The sequence below is a fragment of the Homo sapiens genome, chromosome 16 (assembly GCF_000001405.40).
Source record: "Homo sapiens chromosome 16, GRCh38.p14 Primary Assembly".
Lineage (NCBI taxonomy): Eukaryota > Metazoa > Chordata > Mammalia > Primates > Hominidae > Homo > Homo sapiens.
In genome coordinates, this window is record NC_000016.10 from 10,859,530 (window position 1) to 10,875,732 (window position 16,203).

General features: G+C 46.4%; 1 protein-coding gene across 10 annotated transcripts in view, besides 1 other annotated feature; it reads left to right on the top strand.

The window, feature by feature from the left end:
• Positions 1-6,676: 6,676 nt before the first annotated feature.
• CIITA (class II major histocompatibility complex transactivator) overlaps positions 6,677-16,203 on the top strand; it is a 76,816-nt gene continuing 67,289 nt past the window's right edge. For 6 of the 10 annotated variants that reach the window (XR_001751904.2, XM_011522485.3, XM_011522484.4 and 3 more), the window contains exon 1: positions 6,677-7,043. Coding sequence is in view for 5 of the 10 variants with exons in the window: in XM_011522485.3 (XP_011520787.1) it covers positions 6,698-7,043 (346 nt within the window). In the remaining 5 variants the exon portion in view is untranslated. The remainder of the gene's footprint in view (positions 7,044-16,203) is intronic. The other 4 variants (XM_047434115.1, XM_047434118.1, XM_047434123.1 and 1 more) reach the window with 3 other exon arrangements.
• Positions 11,381-12,580: an enhancer, noted in NCBI's record as "BRD4-independent group 4 enhancer chr16:10964767-10965966 (GRCh37/hg19 assembly coordinates)". NCBI's record gives its function as "activates an origin of replication core promoter dependent on BRD2, P300/CBP, MED14 and CDK7 cofactors, and independent of BRD4, by STARR-seq in HCT116 cells {active_cell/tissue: HCT116}" and the evidence as "EXISTENCE:reporter gene assay evidence [ECO:0000049][PMID:35650434]".

The following is a 16,203-nucleotide window of genomic DNA, read 5'->3' on the forward strand; positions in this document are numbered from 1 at the left end:
GTGGTGATGGTGGTGACGATAGCGGTGGTGATGGTGGTGGTGATGATGATGGTGGTGATGATGGTGATGGTGGTGGTGACGATAGTGGTGGTGATGATGGTGATGGTGATGATGGTGGTGGTGATGATGGAGGTGGTGATGACGGAGGTGGTGATGTCATCCTGTAGACGACACGCCACCCACTCTCCCCACTGCTTTCAGTCATAAGCCAGGAGTGAACTCCATATGTCTTGCAGGGAAACCCAAAAAGCAAAGGTAGCAGTCCACAGCCCTGAGCAGCAGCCAAGGTGACTCAGGCTGAGATGCAACAACCTGGTCTGTGGGCAGACAGGCAGCAGCCACAGGGGCCAGCCTGGACGTGCCCATAGATCCAGGGAGCTGATCCTCTTCCTCTCAAGGGGAAGTAGCCACTCCAGCAGATGCTGTGTTCCCAGCCCTCTTCTCCTTTTCAAAATCTGCAGCCCAGTGTTCCTCCCAGGAACGCAGGGTCTGGCCCAGGTTCTGTAACTTACACCTTAGCCGCATCCATAGAGTAAGATGATTGATGCTTTCCTTGAATTATTTTTGGTGATGATAAGATCATATACAGAAAGCATCTAACTCCCCAGTATTCTCACTCAAGAAATGATATCTGAATTTTTAAAATTATATCATCATTGATTTCCAGCTGGAGGAGCAGGAACTAGAGAAGCCAGTTGCCCCCCACCCAACAGGTAGGTGACGTCAAGGACCACCTAAGCTCCTAGCCGTGAACTGGGGAAATAGAGCCTGGGCATTTTACATGTAACCAACTTCACTGCCCCTCTCAACAGATCCCTCAGCACCCTCTCTTTTCCCTGCTTTCAGCCTCAGGCTCCAAGCTTCTCATCCCCAGGGCCCCTAGTGTCTTCAGAGTCAAGACCCAGATCTTGATTGGTAACAGAACCATGACACCAAGCACTAAACTGGTGTTTCCCAAAGTGTGGTTTCTGTGTCACCCTTCTGGCAGGCAGATAACTAAGGGAAAAGGGGTTCACCCATAGGTGTTAAATAACAACCAATCACTTAGTAAGAAAGCCCCCTCTCAATCATCATCATCTTCATCATTATATTAGGTTACACCATATGAAACAGCAATTTTTATGAATCTAAAACAAACAAATATCAGCAGTTTTATATGACTCAATCTAATAGGATTCTTTAGACATATAAAAACTTATAAAGAATAAAGGCCAGATGCAGTGGCTCACGCGTGTAATTCCAGTACTTTGGGAGACCGAGGCAGGCGGATCAGGAGTTTGAGATCAGCCTGGCTAAAATGGTGAAACCCTGTCTCTACTAAAAATACAAAATTAGCTAGGCATGGTGGCACGTGCCTGTAATCCCAGCTACTCCAGAGGCTGAGGCAGGATAATCACTTGAACCCAGGAGGCGGAGTTTGCAGCGAGCCGAGATCATGCCATTGCACTCCAGCCTGGGCAAAAAGAGCCAAACTCCGTCTCAACAACAACAACAAAAAAGTTATAAAGAATAATGGCTAGGCTGAGTGCAGTGGCTCTCACCTGTAATCCCAGTCCTTTGGGAGGCTGAGGCAGGAGAATCGCTGGAAGCCAGGAATTCGAGACCAACCTGGGCAACGTTGTGAGACCCTATTTCTACACAAAATTTAAAAATTACCCAAGCATGGTGGCACACTCCCAGCTACACGGGAAGAGGCTGAGGTGGGAGGATCACTTGAGCTCAGAAGGTTGAGGTTACAATGAACCATGATTGCACCACTGCATTCCAGCCTGGACAACGGAGTGAGATCCTGAATCAGAAAGAAAGAAAAAAAAAGATGAACAGTATTTTCTTTAAAATGACCAGTTTTTTGTGGAAGAGCAGTCACAGAGAGCCCTGATGGCAAATAACTTATGATGATTCTGGAAGGAATTACAGGTTGGTAATCATAGATGACCAATGCTACCATTGGTGTGGAGATTGTACTAGCAGCTGAGCTCATGAGGAGAAGACTCTAGAATACCTATATCTGAATGTTGTACCTTTAGCAACCTGTGTTAAGGGTCTCTTCTTAGAAATGTAGCAGTCCCAGGTCATAGCTTATGGATTCACTTTTACATGTAACACTATACTATGATGAAACAGAAGGAGAGAAGATGATAAAAGATTCAACTATTAAACCTTTAAAACTCACTCACTGTCCCAATGTGTAATTTATTTGAATAACTTTATTTTAACAAACATCAACTTCCTACACTTTGATTAAGTCTATTAAGTTTAATTGGTTAAAGGCATACGAACTCCAGAATGTTTATAAGACATTTCTATCTATTCTTACGGTGATTTTTATTTCTTTCTCTTTTTTTTTCTAGCACAAACAAACCTGCTTTGTGTCTCATAATGCCCATGTGTAAGAATTTTTCTGGCATATATACTGAAGAGTGGAAATCCTGAGTATTATTTAATGATTTTGTAGGCATTACCAAATTACTACCCTAAGCAATTACACCATTCTACATGCTCTCCAACAAAGTAGAATTCCCATTTTTCTATACCCTTAACATTTTTACTTATCTGCTGATGCAAGAGAGCTTTAGCTTGGTGCTACTCTATCTTTAATACCTTTCTAACACTTGCTAACTACCTTTTGTCACAAAAGGAGATAGGTCCCCAGGATCAGAAACTCGAGGAAACTGAAATCTAAACTTTCATATTATCATTTTCCATTCTGCATGGGTTTTTTTGTTACAGTTGCCTACTATTCTTGCACAAGGGATACTGGCTTTCCAATTGTGATAAAGATAGGAAATTTCCTTTTAAAACAAATTAAATCAGTAAGACAGAGTAAAACAAAATATTAGGTAAATAATAGTACAGATTGCATGTGATTTGGAGGAGAAAAAAAATTATGCAGGGAGCTCTGAATAAGTAAAGATGGGAGAAGTAATACACTGGTGATTAATTGCAGGGGAATATTGCTGAGCTCAAGACCAGTGGGTTCTGCAACTAGGTAACACCTCCCTGGAAACTGTAGTATTTCAGAAGTGAAAAATCCTGGGGATCATGTAATCCAACCTATGTGTTTCATGGGTGACGACATTGTGGTCCAGAGAGAGGAAGTTTCTTGCCAGGCACAGTGAGTCAGTGGCCAAGTGGAGGCTGGCACCCAGGTTTTCTTGACTAAGCACATGGCAAGTGGCCACTGGATTGATAGGAACAATCAAAGCAGACTTATTAAGTGATTACGACAGCAGATCCTTGTCCCTGGCTCTGTGCACCCACTGTTTGTTGTTTCATCATCTTGTAATGCAGATCTCCTGCAACCTATCCTTTTAGTTTTCTTTTATCTGAAAATGTCTATTTCTGTCTGCGTTCTTGAGGGATATTTGCACTGAATGTAGAACTCAGGATGAACATATTTTAAAATCTTATCTCTTCTAAGATATTCTTCCACAGTCTTCCAGCCGCCATGGTTTCAAACAAGAAGTCGGTGATCATTCAGGTGTTCTATATGTACTGTGTTATTTTGAACTGGCTGCTTTCACGAGTATCTTTTTAGCTTTGATTTTCAACAGTTTGGCTATTATGTGCCTAGGTGTGGTTTTCTTGTATTTATCCTACTTAGATTTGCTAAGCTTCTCAAATCTGTATTCCTTGGCTATTTTTCTTTTTTCTTTTCTTTCTTTTTTTTTTTTTTTTTTTTGCTTAAAACAACACTAATTTATTTTCTTACCATTACTGTATAAGTCTTACATGGGTATCAACGGGCTAAAATCAAGGTGAATTTGATTCCCTTCCAAAGGTTGTAGGAGAAAATCTATTTCTGCGGTTTTTCAAGCTTCTAGAAGCTACTCACATACCTTGGCTTGTGACTTCCTTCCTTCATCTCTGAAGCCAGTAACATTGTATCTCTTTGACTAGTCTTCCACAGTCACACCATATCTTTTGTCCCCATTTTCTACTTTTTAAAATTTCAATAGTTTTGGGGGAAACAGGTGGTTTTTAGTTACATGGGTAAGTTCTTTAGTGGTGACTTCTGAGATTTTGGTGCAGCCACCACCTGAGCAGTGTACACTGTACCCAATGTGTAATCTTTTATCCCTGCCCCACCCCAACACTTCCCCCAGTCCCCAAAGTCCATTATATCATTCTTATGCCTTTGCATCCTCATAATTTAGCTCCCACTTACAAGTGAGAACATACGATATTTGGTTTTGATGAGGATATTTTCCTTTACATCTTAGATGTCTTTTTCCTCCATGGTTATAATCACAGCTTTAAAAATCATTGTCTGCTAATTTCAACATCAGCATCATCTTGAGGCCAGTTTTCACTGATTGTCTTTTTCTCTTGAAAATGTTACCTTTTTCCTGTTTCTTTATATGTCAACTAATTTTGTTTTTATTTATTTATTTATTTATTTTTGAGATGGAGTCTTGCTCTGTCACCCAGGCTGGAGTGCAGTGGCGCAATCTCGGCTCACTGCAACTTCTGCCCCCTGGGTTCAAGCAATTCTCTGCCTCAGCCTCCCGAGTAGCTGGGATTACAGGCACCTGCAACCACGCCTGTCTAATTTTTGTATTTTTAGTAGAGATGGGGTTTCACCATGTTGACCAGGCTGTTCCTGAACTCCTGACCTCGTGATCCACCCGCCTTGGCCTCCCAAAGTGCTGGGATTACAGGCATGAGCCACCGCGCCCGGCCTATGTCAAGTAATTTTGTATTGAACACAGGACATTAGGGATATGTTGTAAACACTCTGGATTCTGTTATAATCTGAACAGCATTAATATTTTTGGGTTTTATTTCAGTAGGGACATAACTTGGCTGGAATCAAATGCAAAATCTCCTACCCCTACACCCATTGCAGCTCAAATCTTCGTTCAGCTTATTTAGCCTTAGCTGAGCTGCTTGGAGTCTGACCTACGAATATATACATGGTCCAGAAGCCAGCCAGATATTTAGACAATTATATACAGAATTTGGGCTACTCCTTTCTCCTTCTCTGTCTGGGATTTCTACTTTCCAGTAGGTATTTTTGCCCCAAATTCTATCCTCTGATTATAAAGGGCAGTAAACCTTTCTTTTTTTTTTTTTTTTTTTTTTTTGAGATAGAGTCTGACTCTGTTGCCCAGGCTAAAGTGCAGTGGCACTATCATAGCCTACTGCAACCTCAACCTCTCCAGGCTCAAGTGCTCCTCCCACCTCAGCCTTCCAAGTAGCTGGGACCACAGGCATGAAGTCTTAACTGCCCTGCACAGCACTGATTGGAACTTGCCTTCAGACTAAACTCATGAACTGGGAAATTCACCTGTGAAGTTCTCATTTTCCATATATTGACTCCCTTCCAGTATCTGCCTGGCCTGTCACTCTCCAGTGCCTTCAGATAGTTGTTTTTTATATTCTCCCCAGAGTTTATAGTTGTTACCTGTGGTAGCGTTGATCATATGGGAGCTGGTCAGCCACACTGGAAATGGAAATCCTTTGTCTCATTTAAATGAATAATGCAAATGGCCCCAGCTGAGAGATGGTAATCCTGAGTCTGGAAGGAAACAAAGTCACGGCATGTTACAGAATGGGCAGGAGAACAGTCGCCTATGGTTCTTTAAAACTGGGTTGGGGATTTTTAGAATCATAAACCAGACTGGCTTCTATGCAAATCCTCTGTTTTGTGCATTAGTAAGTTGGGGATAGTATTAACAAATAGTCAGTGTTCGTTAAGTGCTTACTAGGTCCAGTGTAGAGACCCTTAAATGCATATGAGCTTCGATTGCTTTTAGTGGGAAATTTTGCAGAGGAGGAGACTGAGGATTTGTGAGGTTAAACTCAGGGTGATAGTAATTTGCATGATTAATCAATAATAATGATGGTTCATATTTATTGTATTATTATCATGTTGTAGATAATGCACTAGGGACTCTATTTATGTTATCTCATTTAATCCTCCCAACAACCCTATCATGTAAGTACTGTTAACAGAGACTAAAAATGCTAAGTAAGGCAGGCGTGGTGGCTCACACTTGTAATCCCAGTACTTTGGGAGACTGAGGCAAGAGGATCACTTGAGCCCAGGAATTCAAGACCAGCCTGGGAAACAGAGTGAGACCCTGTCTCTACTAAAAATAAAAAAATAAAAAATTAGCGGGGCATGATGGTGTGAGTCTGTAGTCCCAGCTACTGGGAAACAGAGATGGGAGGTTTGTTTGAGCCTGGGAAGTTGAGGCTGCAGTGAGTTATGATCACGCCACTGCACACCAGCCTGGGCAACAGAGCAAGACCCTGTCAAAAAAAAAAAAAAGGCTATGTAACATGCCCAAAGTCACATAATTGGCAAGGAGCAGCAGATCTGGGACTTGAACATAGGCAGATTAGCTCCAAGCCTATTTGCTTAACCTCTATACCACAATGCCTTCTTGCTATGGTAAAACATCTGAAAAGACCTATTACCCTATAGGTCCTCTAAGGAGGCATGTCGCCTTCCTCTTAGCAATACTAGATTGGCTCCAACAGAAGGCTGTGGGCTTCTCTGGCACATGCACCTGGGTAGGACCCAGAGAATATCTGTGGAGTCTGAATCAACCCAAAAGCCAATATCCATCCGTTCATCAGGAACCCCAGCCTACAACGCAAAAGAGGAAATCTTCCTAAGTAGAAATAAACTGTAATAAATTGCAGAGGTTCCCTCGTCCTGGTTTTCACTTCATGTTTTGGATGCTGCATGCTGGGTGAGCGGAGATTCCAGGCACTGGCCAGGGCAGCTGCCCTGACTCCAAGGGCTGCCATGAACAACTTCCAGGCCATCCTGACTCAGGTGAGAATGCTGCTCTCCAGCCATCAGCCCAGCCTGGTGCAGGCCCTCTTGGACAACCTGCTGAAGGAGGACCTCCTCTCCAGGGAATACCACTGCACTCTGCTCCATGAGCCTGATAGTGAGGCTCTGGCCAGGAAGATCTCTTTGACCCTACTAGAGAAAGGAGACCTGGATTTGGCCCTCCTGGGGTGGGCCCGGAGTGGGCTGCAGCCCCCAGCAGCCGAGAGGGGCCCCGGCCACAGTGACCATGGTGGTAAGTTGGCATCACTTTTAATCAAGGAGAAATGACAGACTGTAGACAGCTCAAGGATTTTCCCTCCTCTCTGAAAGGGAAGTCAATGGGAAGGCAGACTGGTGAGAAATCCAAGTGTCTAGTGAGCTGGCAGGAGCAGTGAAAACTTGGAGCACTGTCTCTGTTGCTGGGTGTGCTGGAGCGAACGGCGTGCTTCCCACTCTGCTGGAAGGAACCATCCCAGGGGCACGCAGCCAAATGCCTGCTTGGGTTCACTCCCTGAGCCCTGACGATACACCAACATTAACGGGGCATGGATGGACAGATCAGCTCCTGCCTTCAAAGGGGTCTGCTGTCTAGTGGGGAAGATGGATGCAGGCACAATCAGTGTGAGTCAAAATGAGAGAAATGGGGCCGGGTGCACTGGCTCACGCCTGTAATCCCAGCATTTTGGGAGGCCAAGGCAGGTGGATCACCTGAGATCAGTTCGACACCAGCCTGGCCAACATGGCAAAACCCTGTCTCTACTAAAAAATACAAAAAACAGCCAGACATCCTGGTGGGTGCCTGTAGTCCCAGCTACTCAGGAGGCTGAGGCAGGAGAATTGCTTGAACTGGGAAGGCAGAGGTTGCAATGAGCCGAGATCACGCTACTGCACTCCAGTCTGGGCAACAGAGCAAGACTCCATCTCAAAAAAAAAAATAGAGAAATGGGGTGCAGAGAAAGGAGGAGCCAGAGAAAAAGCTGAAAGCAGAGCCCACTGTGTGTGTTGGGGGGGGGCATGTGTGCGTTTGCATGCATTTGCTTGTGTGTGCATGTGTGTGTCTGTGTGACACACAGAGACAGAAACCGAAAGACAGAGGGAGAGCGAGAAAGGAAGGGAGAGAAAGACAGACACAGAAAGAGACAGAGAGACAGGCAGAGACAGGGAGAAAAGGGAGGGAGAGGAAGGAAGGTGGAGGCTGATGGAGGAAGAGAAAAAGGGAGAAGGTGGGGGAAAGAAAGAGAGAGAAAGAGAGAATAAGAACTCGCTTACGGGAGAGAGAATGAAGGCCTTATTTTTAAGAGCGTTGGTGGCACACAATCATCTCAAACCAGAAAGACAAGCCTGCACTGTCCTCTTTCCACTCACATCCTTGGCTCCTCCAACTTTTTACGTCTCCTACCCACTTACAAAGAAGTCCTCCCTTCATTGTAATGTCACAACTTTCTTTCTTTTTTTGAGACGGGGTCTGTTCTCTTGCCCAGGCTGGAGTGTAGTCGCATGATCACAGCTCACTACAGCCTCCATTTGCGGTGCTTAAGTGATCCTCCCACCTCAGCCTCCCAACTAGCTGGGACTACAGGCATGCACCACTATGCCTGGCTAATTTTTTTTTAATTATTTTTTGTAGAGATGAGGTCTCACTATGTTGACCAGGCTGCTTGCGAACCCCTGAGCTCAAGCGATCCTCCCACCTTGGCCTCCCAAATTGCTGGGCTTACAGGCATGAGCCACCACACCCAACCTGGTCATAACTTTCTAAAGACGGTGTTTGTTCCATCTCCTTCTGAAATGCAAGTCTTGAGAGAATAACAGTGATTGACATTGATTATTTAGTGTGCCAGAAACAGCCTAAGCGCAATCTAGAACCCTCTTACTTCTCCCTTGACCTTGAGCCCTTTGATCCCCATCCTTATTTAACACTTAAAGAAGAAAACAGACTCTGCCCAGGGGTGACGCAACTTGCCCAGGTCCCCCAGGTGGGAAGCGGTGAAGACTGGATTTGAAGACAGACAAGCTTTGATCTTCAACTTAGCCTTCAGGGCATCAAATGCATTTTGGCGGCCTTATCTTGGGCACCAGGGCAGTGTTGTTTACCAGCTTTCCTGCCAAGACAACATTTCTACAGGGCTGGTTCTTCTTGTGGTCAAATTCTCACCCAAGTGGTTTCCATCGTCTATTGGACTCCTCTTTAATTCTCTTCCTCCTAACAGTCACCTAGGCAAAGGGGCATCTTTACCACCCAAACATTCTCCCTTGGCTTCTCAACAGGGGCGCAGACAGCCAGTGTGGTCTTGATGGTGGCACAGATGCCACCTGGGGGAGAAGCCAGAACCTTCCTCTCTCCCTGGCTGCAGCCCCTCCTGCCCCAGCCACATGTGCCTTCACTGCCGGACACTTCAGCCCCTCCCACCCCCTCTTTCCGAGAGTGCTGGTTCCTGTTATTTAACTCTGTTTCCTCCCTCGGGAGGTAATATATTTATTTCTGATCCCACGTGACTCCAGAAAGTGGAACTGCACTCGGGGCCCAGTGTGGTCTTCGGGGAGCTGGGAGGGGTGCAGGGCAAGTTGCTCTTTTCCTGCTTTCTCTTTCTGCCCTCCAGCCAGCTTCCCTCCAGGGCTGCCAGGCTTGACCTGCGACAGTGGGCAGGTGTGCTGCTGCTGGGCAGCTCTCAGAGGGGAAGAAAGAGGACAGGGCAAGAGAATTGCATGGTTTGTAAACAAAGGGCACTGACTTTCATTTTGATGGGGGTTCGGAAAAGGAAATCATCCATGTGGGGTTTTTGTGACCCTCCCTCTCAACCACTCTATAATGACCTTGGCCCTCTGCTGTGCTAAACGCTGCACTGGCTCCCACGTTACTCAGAGAAAAAGCTAAATCTGGACAATGGCCCACAAGGCCTTTCCTACCTCATCAGCTCCCTGCTCTCATCCCCTACTCCTGTCTGCCTTGTTCATCTACTCCAGCCATGTTGGCACCCTCGCTGTTCCTTAGACACGCTCAGCACACTGTCTGCCTCAGAACCTTTGCACATGCCGTTCCCTCTGCCTGGAGCACTGTTCTCTAAGCATTTTCTTGGTCAACCTCCTAAATTCCTTCTATTCTTTGCACCTTATCAATGAAGCCTGCCCTGACCAAGCCATTTAGAATTGCAACTCCTCCCTCCACACTCTGAGCCCCCTCCCCAGATTGATTTTTTCCCCACTTTTTTTTTTTTTGATACAGAGTCTTGCTCTATCGCCCAGCCTGGAGTGCAGTGGTGAGATCTCAGCTCACTGCAACTTCCATCTCCCAGGTTCATGCAGTTCTCATGCCTCAGCCTCCCAAATAGCTGGGATTACAGGTTTGTGCCACTATGCCTGGCTAATTTTTGTATTTTTAGAGACAGGGTTTCTCCAAGTTGGCCAGGCTGGTCTTGAACTCCTGACATCAAGTGATCCGCCCACCCCACAAAGTACTGGGATAACAGGCATGAGCCACTGCGCCTGGCTCCCCACCTTCTGTATATCTTACTTTTGTATTACGTGTGTGTTGTTTATTGTTTGACCCTCCCACTGGAAAATAAACTCCACATGGACATGGATCTATGTTTTGATCACAATATGTCCCAAATACCTAGCACAGGGCCTGAGCACAGGGTAGGTATGCAATATATATTTGTTGAATGTTCAGTGGATGGATGCGTTGATGAGTGGGTAGATGGATGAATGGATAGTTCATGTAATGCCATTATTCCTACTTTACCAATGAGTAAACTGAGGCACAGAGAAGTTAATGATTTGCCTCTGGTCATGACCTGAGGAGGGAGACTATGGGGTCTCATGAGTCCTGGCCAATTGCAGTACTTCCTGCAAAAAAAAAAAAAAAAAAAAAAAAAAAAGTACTGCTTTAGCTTCCTCTTCTAAACAACCCAAGGGGCTACCGTAAATCTACCCCAAATAGGGTGGCAGTCTTCAAACTGAAACCAGCCTGATGATTCAGAAGTCCCCTTCAGATATTGCAGTGCCTTAGGTGCAATTGTGCAGAAAGCCCAGTTCTGGAGATGGGAGCTTAGGGGTTTCGCTCTGTGCTACACTGAGCAACCTGTGTGCATCCAGCCCCAGGAAAGTTCCAGTGAGTCCCAAGAGTCAAAGTCCTTGCCCTGGAGGAACTCAGGTGCCTCAGTGGGAAGTTAAAGCAAACATTTAGGCAGTCCCTGGTCAACAGTGGGTCACAACATCTGAACAACATCTATCAGAGGCCAAAGAAGGGGGAGCTAGGATGGGTGATGATGGAAAAAGAACCAGGCTGGAGGCTGGACAGCTGGACAGCTCTGGATCTGAAGCCATGTTCTGCTCCTTACGTACCATGTGACCTTGGCCACATGACTAGACCACTCGGAATCTCAGTTTCTTCATCTCTGAAATGGGAGCAATGATACGAATCTCCCAGGGCTCTAGTGAGGGTTAAATGAGATGGTAGGTAGAAACCTTCCAAGGCAGTGCTTGGCATTAGGTCGCACTGTATAAATATCAGACCACTCTGAGTCTAACAGCAAGGAGAATGGAACAGGAAGAAGATAAACCAGGGGTTTGAGGCACCAAGAAAAATAATTACTGCAGTCTGGGGGCCCCAGACAATATCTAGACACCTACCCCATGCAAAATGCAGTGCTGAGTGCTTGGGTACTGTGCATATTTGAGAAACAAATCAATGTGGCCCCTGCCCTCGAGTTGAACTGGCACATGGGCCATGTCCTCAGACAGCCTGAGTGCCTGTCCTGCCTTCCCAATTCCAAGAGGTATGACTTTGAGCACTTCCCGGGCGCCCCGCCTCAGTTTCCCCATCTATAAAGTGGAGATGATAATAGCATTCAGAGTCACTGATCTAAGGGCTCAGGGACACCATTCAGTGTAAGCCCCATACACTCCCTGCAAGAGGAAGCTGGTTCTGACTCAGCCTTGAGGCTGGCGTCTGAGGCAACCACAAGCCCAACGTGCATGGTGGAAAGATGACTGTAAGTGGGGGCAACCTCAGCTGGCCTTGGGTTTGACCATGGAATGCGAGGCACAAAGGGGCCCATTTTGCATACTTTCTCAGAGGCTGTAGGGCACCCCTGCCAGGGTCTTACATTTTATTGATTCCTCTGACTCTACTTTGTTGGTTGTTTTTGTTGTTCTGATTTCATTGCGTGACATTTTTGCCCATGAGGTCTCAGTTCTAGGAATGACAGAACAAAGGCTCCCTCTGGGAAGTCGCCTGATTTATTGGAAAGGGAGGAACACCCCACCCTTAGGGATCGCTAAGCTCCCTTCCTCCAGCTTCCTTCCCCATCTGGCCCTTAGGATGTGAGAAACCAGAGCTGTGACACACCAGAGAGGAGAGAGGCTGTGCCCTCTCACCTTCTGGGCTTCCTTTCCTGAGAACCAGCCCCTGTTCTGATTTTGGGAGTCTCCTTTGCCTCAGGGAGGGGGATGTGTTGGCGAGGAAGACTCGTGCCTTTCATCTTGGACTGCTTCTCTGGCCCTCTACCCCAGGAACCACAGAAGGAGACACACCTGTACCCGGAAGCTGGCATTTCCCCATGGGTTTTCCCAGGCCAGCCTGTTCCAAACACAGCTTGCCCCCAAGCCTGGCACTTCTCCAACCAGTCACGGTTTCTGTTCTCTGTTGCTATGACCTTGAGCAGTTCACCTGCGTTCCTTACTGTCTACTTTCCCATCCACCTACCTGCCTGCCCTCCAACTTTCCTGATCTGTGTACCTACCTTCCTATATCTACTTCTTTTTATTATTATTATCATTATTCTCACCCTGTCTTTTTTTTAATTTTTTTTGGGTGGGGGGGACACAGTCTTGCTTTGTAGCCCAGGCTGGAATGCAGTGGCGTGATCTCAGCTCATTATAACCTCTGCCTCCCAGATTCAAGCAATTCTCCTGCCTCAGCCTCCCGAGTAGCTAGGATTACAGGCGCCTGCCACCATGCCGAGCTAATTTTTATATTTTTAGTAGAGACAGGGTTTCATCATGTTGGCCAGGCTGGTCTCAAACTCCTGACCTCAAGCAATCCACCCATCTCAGCTTCCCAAAATGCTGGGATTATAGGCGTGAGCCACTGTGCCCAGCCTCTCGCCCTGTCTTATGGTGGTAATCTACTTCTCAATTTATCTATTTATATCTACTGTCTACATACTTATACACTTATTTACTCATGTCTACTTATCAGTTAATCCATTTCTCTACCTACCTAATCACCCATATATTTCCCATGTATTTACATGTCAAAGTATTTCCCTGCATTCCTACCAGCTAAGCCCCCTTTACAACAATCCATCAGCAGGTCCAGGTTCTCATACACCCTCCCATGTCCCTCCCTAATTTGGATACATAGCAGTTGTATTCTACTCACCTATCTCCCTATTCACCGATCTCTTTCTCTCCCTTTCTTGCCTCCTTTCTTTCCTTCTCCTGAATCATTTATTTAGCACCTGCTAGAAATTATGGTGGACTCCCCATCCAGTGCTCTTTCACCAAAAAGCATGAGATGAAGAAGGACTTTTAACCTAGTAGGGGAGGAATCTTCATCCATTTGGAACTGGAGGCTGCCTTGATCATTCAAATCTAAAACTCCATTCATTCCTTCAAATGGTCTTAGAATAGTGTATCTTCTATTTTATTATTTTATTTTATTTTTTGAGACAGGGTCTTGCTCTGTCGCCAAGGCTGGAGCACAGTGGCGCAATCACAGCTCACTACAGCCTCAATCTCCTGGGCTCAAGACATCCTCCCATCTCAGCCTCCCAAGTAGCTGGGACTACAGGCATGCACCACTATGCCCGGCTAATTTTTTTATTTGTGGTAGAGATGAGGTCTCGCTATGTTTCCCACGGCTGGTCTCAAACTTCTGGGCTCAAGCGACATACCTGCCTTAGCCTCCCAAAGTGCAGTGTGCCACTGCACCTCGCCTGATAATGTGTCTTTCAAATGCTCAGTCTTGTGTAGGTATTGGGGTAAGTGCAGAAAATTAAAGACCTGATCCTAGACATTAACAGATGTATGATCTAATCAGAGGTAGCAGAGATGATGCTTATGAACTTGAAAGTTAAAGTTGTATTGCCAAATAATGTTGCAGCAAGTTTTGTAAAACACAGCAAAGCAAGAAAATTATAGTTAGCTGGAAGCGCGATGAAGGTGGGAACTCGAGCTTTGCAGGATGGCTAAAATATAGACCAAAAGGGAGAAGGCAGGAGAGCAGCACCGGGAGGGAGCAAGCTCCCAGCATTCTTCCTTGGCTTGCAGGGAACCAAGGTGCAAAGGTAGGACTGAGCAGAATCTGTTTTGGGAGACTGCAGCAAGGACCGGCAATTTTTCCAGAACAACTGTTCTTTACTTGGAAGACCTAGTTACTCCCCATCTCTCCCTGGGACTTGCCAGGGGACCCCAGCATGGCAACCTTAATGATGGTTCTGCTGGGTGCTAGTGGTTGCTGGCATGCTAGTTTCTGACTCGAGACAAATAAATTCAGATCCCTAGGGTAAGACCGGCTTCAGCAGCACCTCTCCTGACAGGGGTCCCGTCTCAGGAGAGAACTGACTTTGTCCCAAGCAGACCTGGGCTCGGGGAATCCTCATCACCTCTGCAAGAGTTTTTTGTTGTTGCTGTTGTTGTGTTTTGTTGTGTTTTGTTTTTGTTTTTGATTTTTTGAAATAGAGTCTCGCTCTGAAGCCCAGGCTGGAGTGCAGTGGTGTGATCTCGGCTCACTTGCAACCTCCACCTCCCCCAGGTTCAAGCAATTCTCCTGCCTCAGCCTCCCAAGTAACTGGGATTACAGGCGTGCACCACCACACCTGGATAATTTTTCTATTTTTAGTAGAGACAGGGTTTCACCATGTTGGCCAGGCTGGTTTCGAATTCCTGACCTCAGGTGATCCGCCCGCCTCAGTCTCCTAAAGTGTTGAGATTACAGGCGTGAGCCACCACGCCCGGCCTGCAGGAGTCTTTAAGAGGCAGGAACAAGGATGCAGGTGTTTCAACAGAGAGGAAGCCTGGGGTGGGCTTCATTCCTCCTCGTGCTCTTTGCCCCCATTCACTCAGTGCTAGAGGTTGTCATTCTGCCTCTGAGACATCCGGCCCCCTCCCTCTCCATCCCCACACCCTCACCTGCCACAGCTGAAATCCAGGTGTGCCTCAGCTCCTGGCTGGGTACCACTGCCACTCATCTGTAGACTCTCTACCCTGGTGCCTTCAGGTGCCAAAGTGCATCCTCTGCCATCAGTCAAACACACAGTTTGACGGATGTCACTTGCTCTGCTCAGAGACCTGCACCGACACAGGCATGGTCAGGTTCAGGTCTTGTGGACAAGAACTGGGTCTGGAGGAGTCAGGGAAGATGTAGATGAGGAAGGTGGTACTGAAACGAACCTCTGGTACAGGGAAGATGTACCAGGCAGCTGCAGTCACCCAGGTGAGAGATGGTAGTCCTGGCTGGCCCATTCTAAGTTCCAAAGCTGCCTTGGCCATCGGTCTGAGGGTGGGATGGGGGGACATCAGAACCAGCTGTCTCTGAGAACATAAAGGGACCCCCATATGGGACCTCAAGACAGCTGAGCAGTCAGAGGCGCCTCTCCCGTGGCACCAGGTCATAGGATAATGAGACTTCTTAGAATTTCTTTCTTTTTTTTTCTTTTTTTTGAGACTGAGTCTCACTCTGTCACCCACGCTTGAGTGCAGTGGCACTATCTAAGCTCACTGCAACCTCCACCTCCCGGGTTCATGTGATTCTCATCCCTCAGTCTCCCGAGTAGCACACGCACCATCACGCCCAGGCTAATTTTTGTATTTTTAGTAGAGAAAGGATTTTGCCACGTTGGCCAGGCTGGTCTTCAACTCCTGACCTCAAATGATCTGCCCACCTCAGCCTCCCAAAGGACTAGGATTACAGGCATGAGCCACTGTGCCTGGTCATTCTTAGAATTTCTGACATTCACCATATCCGTTTGTTAGCCCCACTAAGCAAGGCTGTTTCAAATTGACTCAGCATTTCTTATTTGTCAATTTCTACCCCACTCCTCACCCGGGGACTTCTGAAAACAGTGAAGGCTTCAAAGTAATCACCTTACAAAGAAGGGCATCATCCTCATTTCACACATGGGGAAACTGAGGACCACAGAGAGGAAGTAAAGAGGCCAAGGTCACACACCTGCTACTAAGTTCCCCGTCCAGTGCTCTTTCAGCAAAAATGCATGAGGCACACAAGTCATGTTTCCAAACCTTCATTTCAGTACCACCTTCATCATTTTTGTGTTTTCCACATAACACTTTACTATTATTTATGACAGGGTTTTTTTTAACCACTCACCTTTTTTACTTATCTTTCTTTTCTTTTTCTTTAGGAGAGGCAGGATCTCACTCTGTTGCCCAGGCTGGAGTGTATTTCA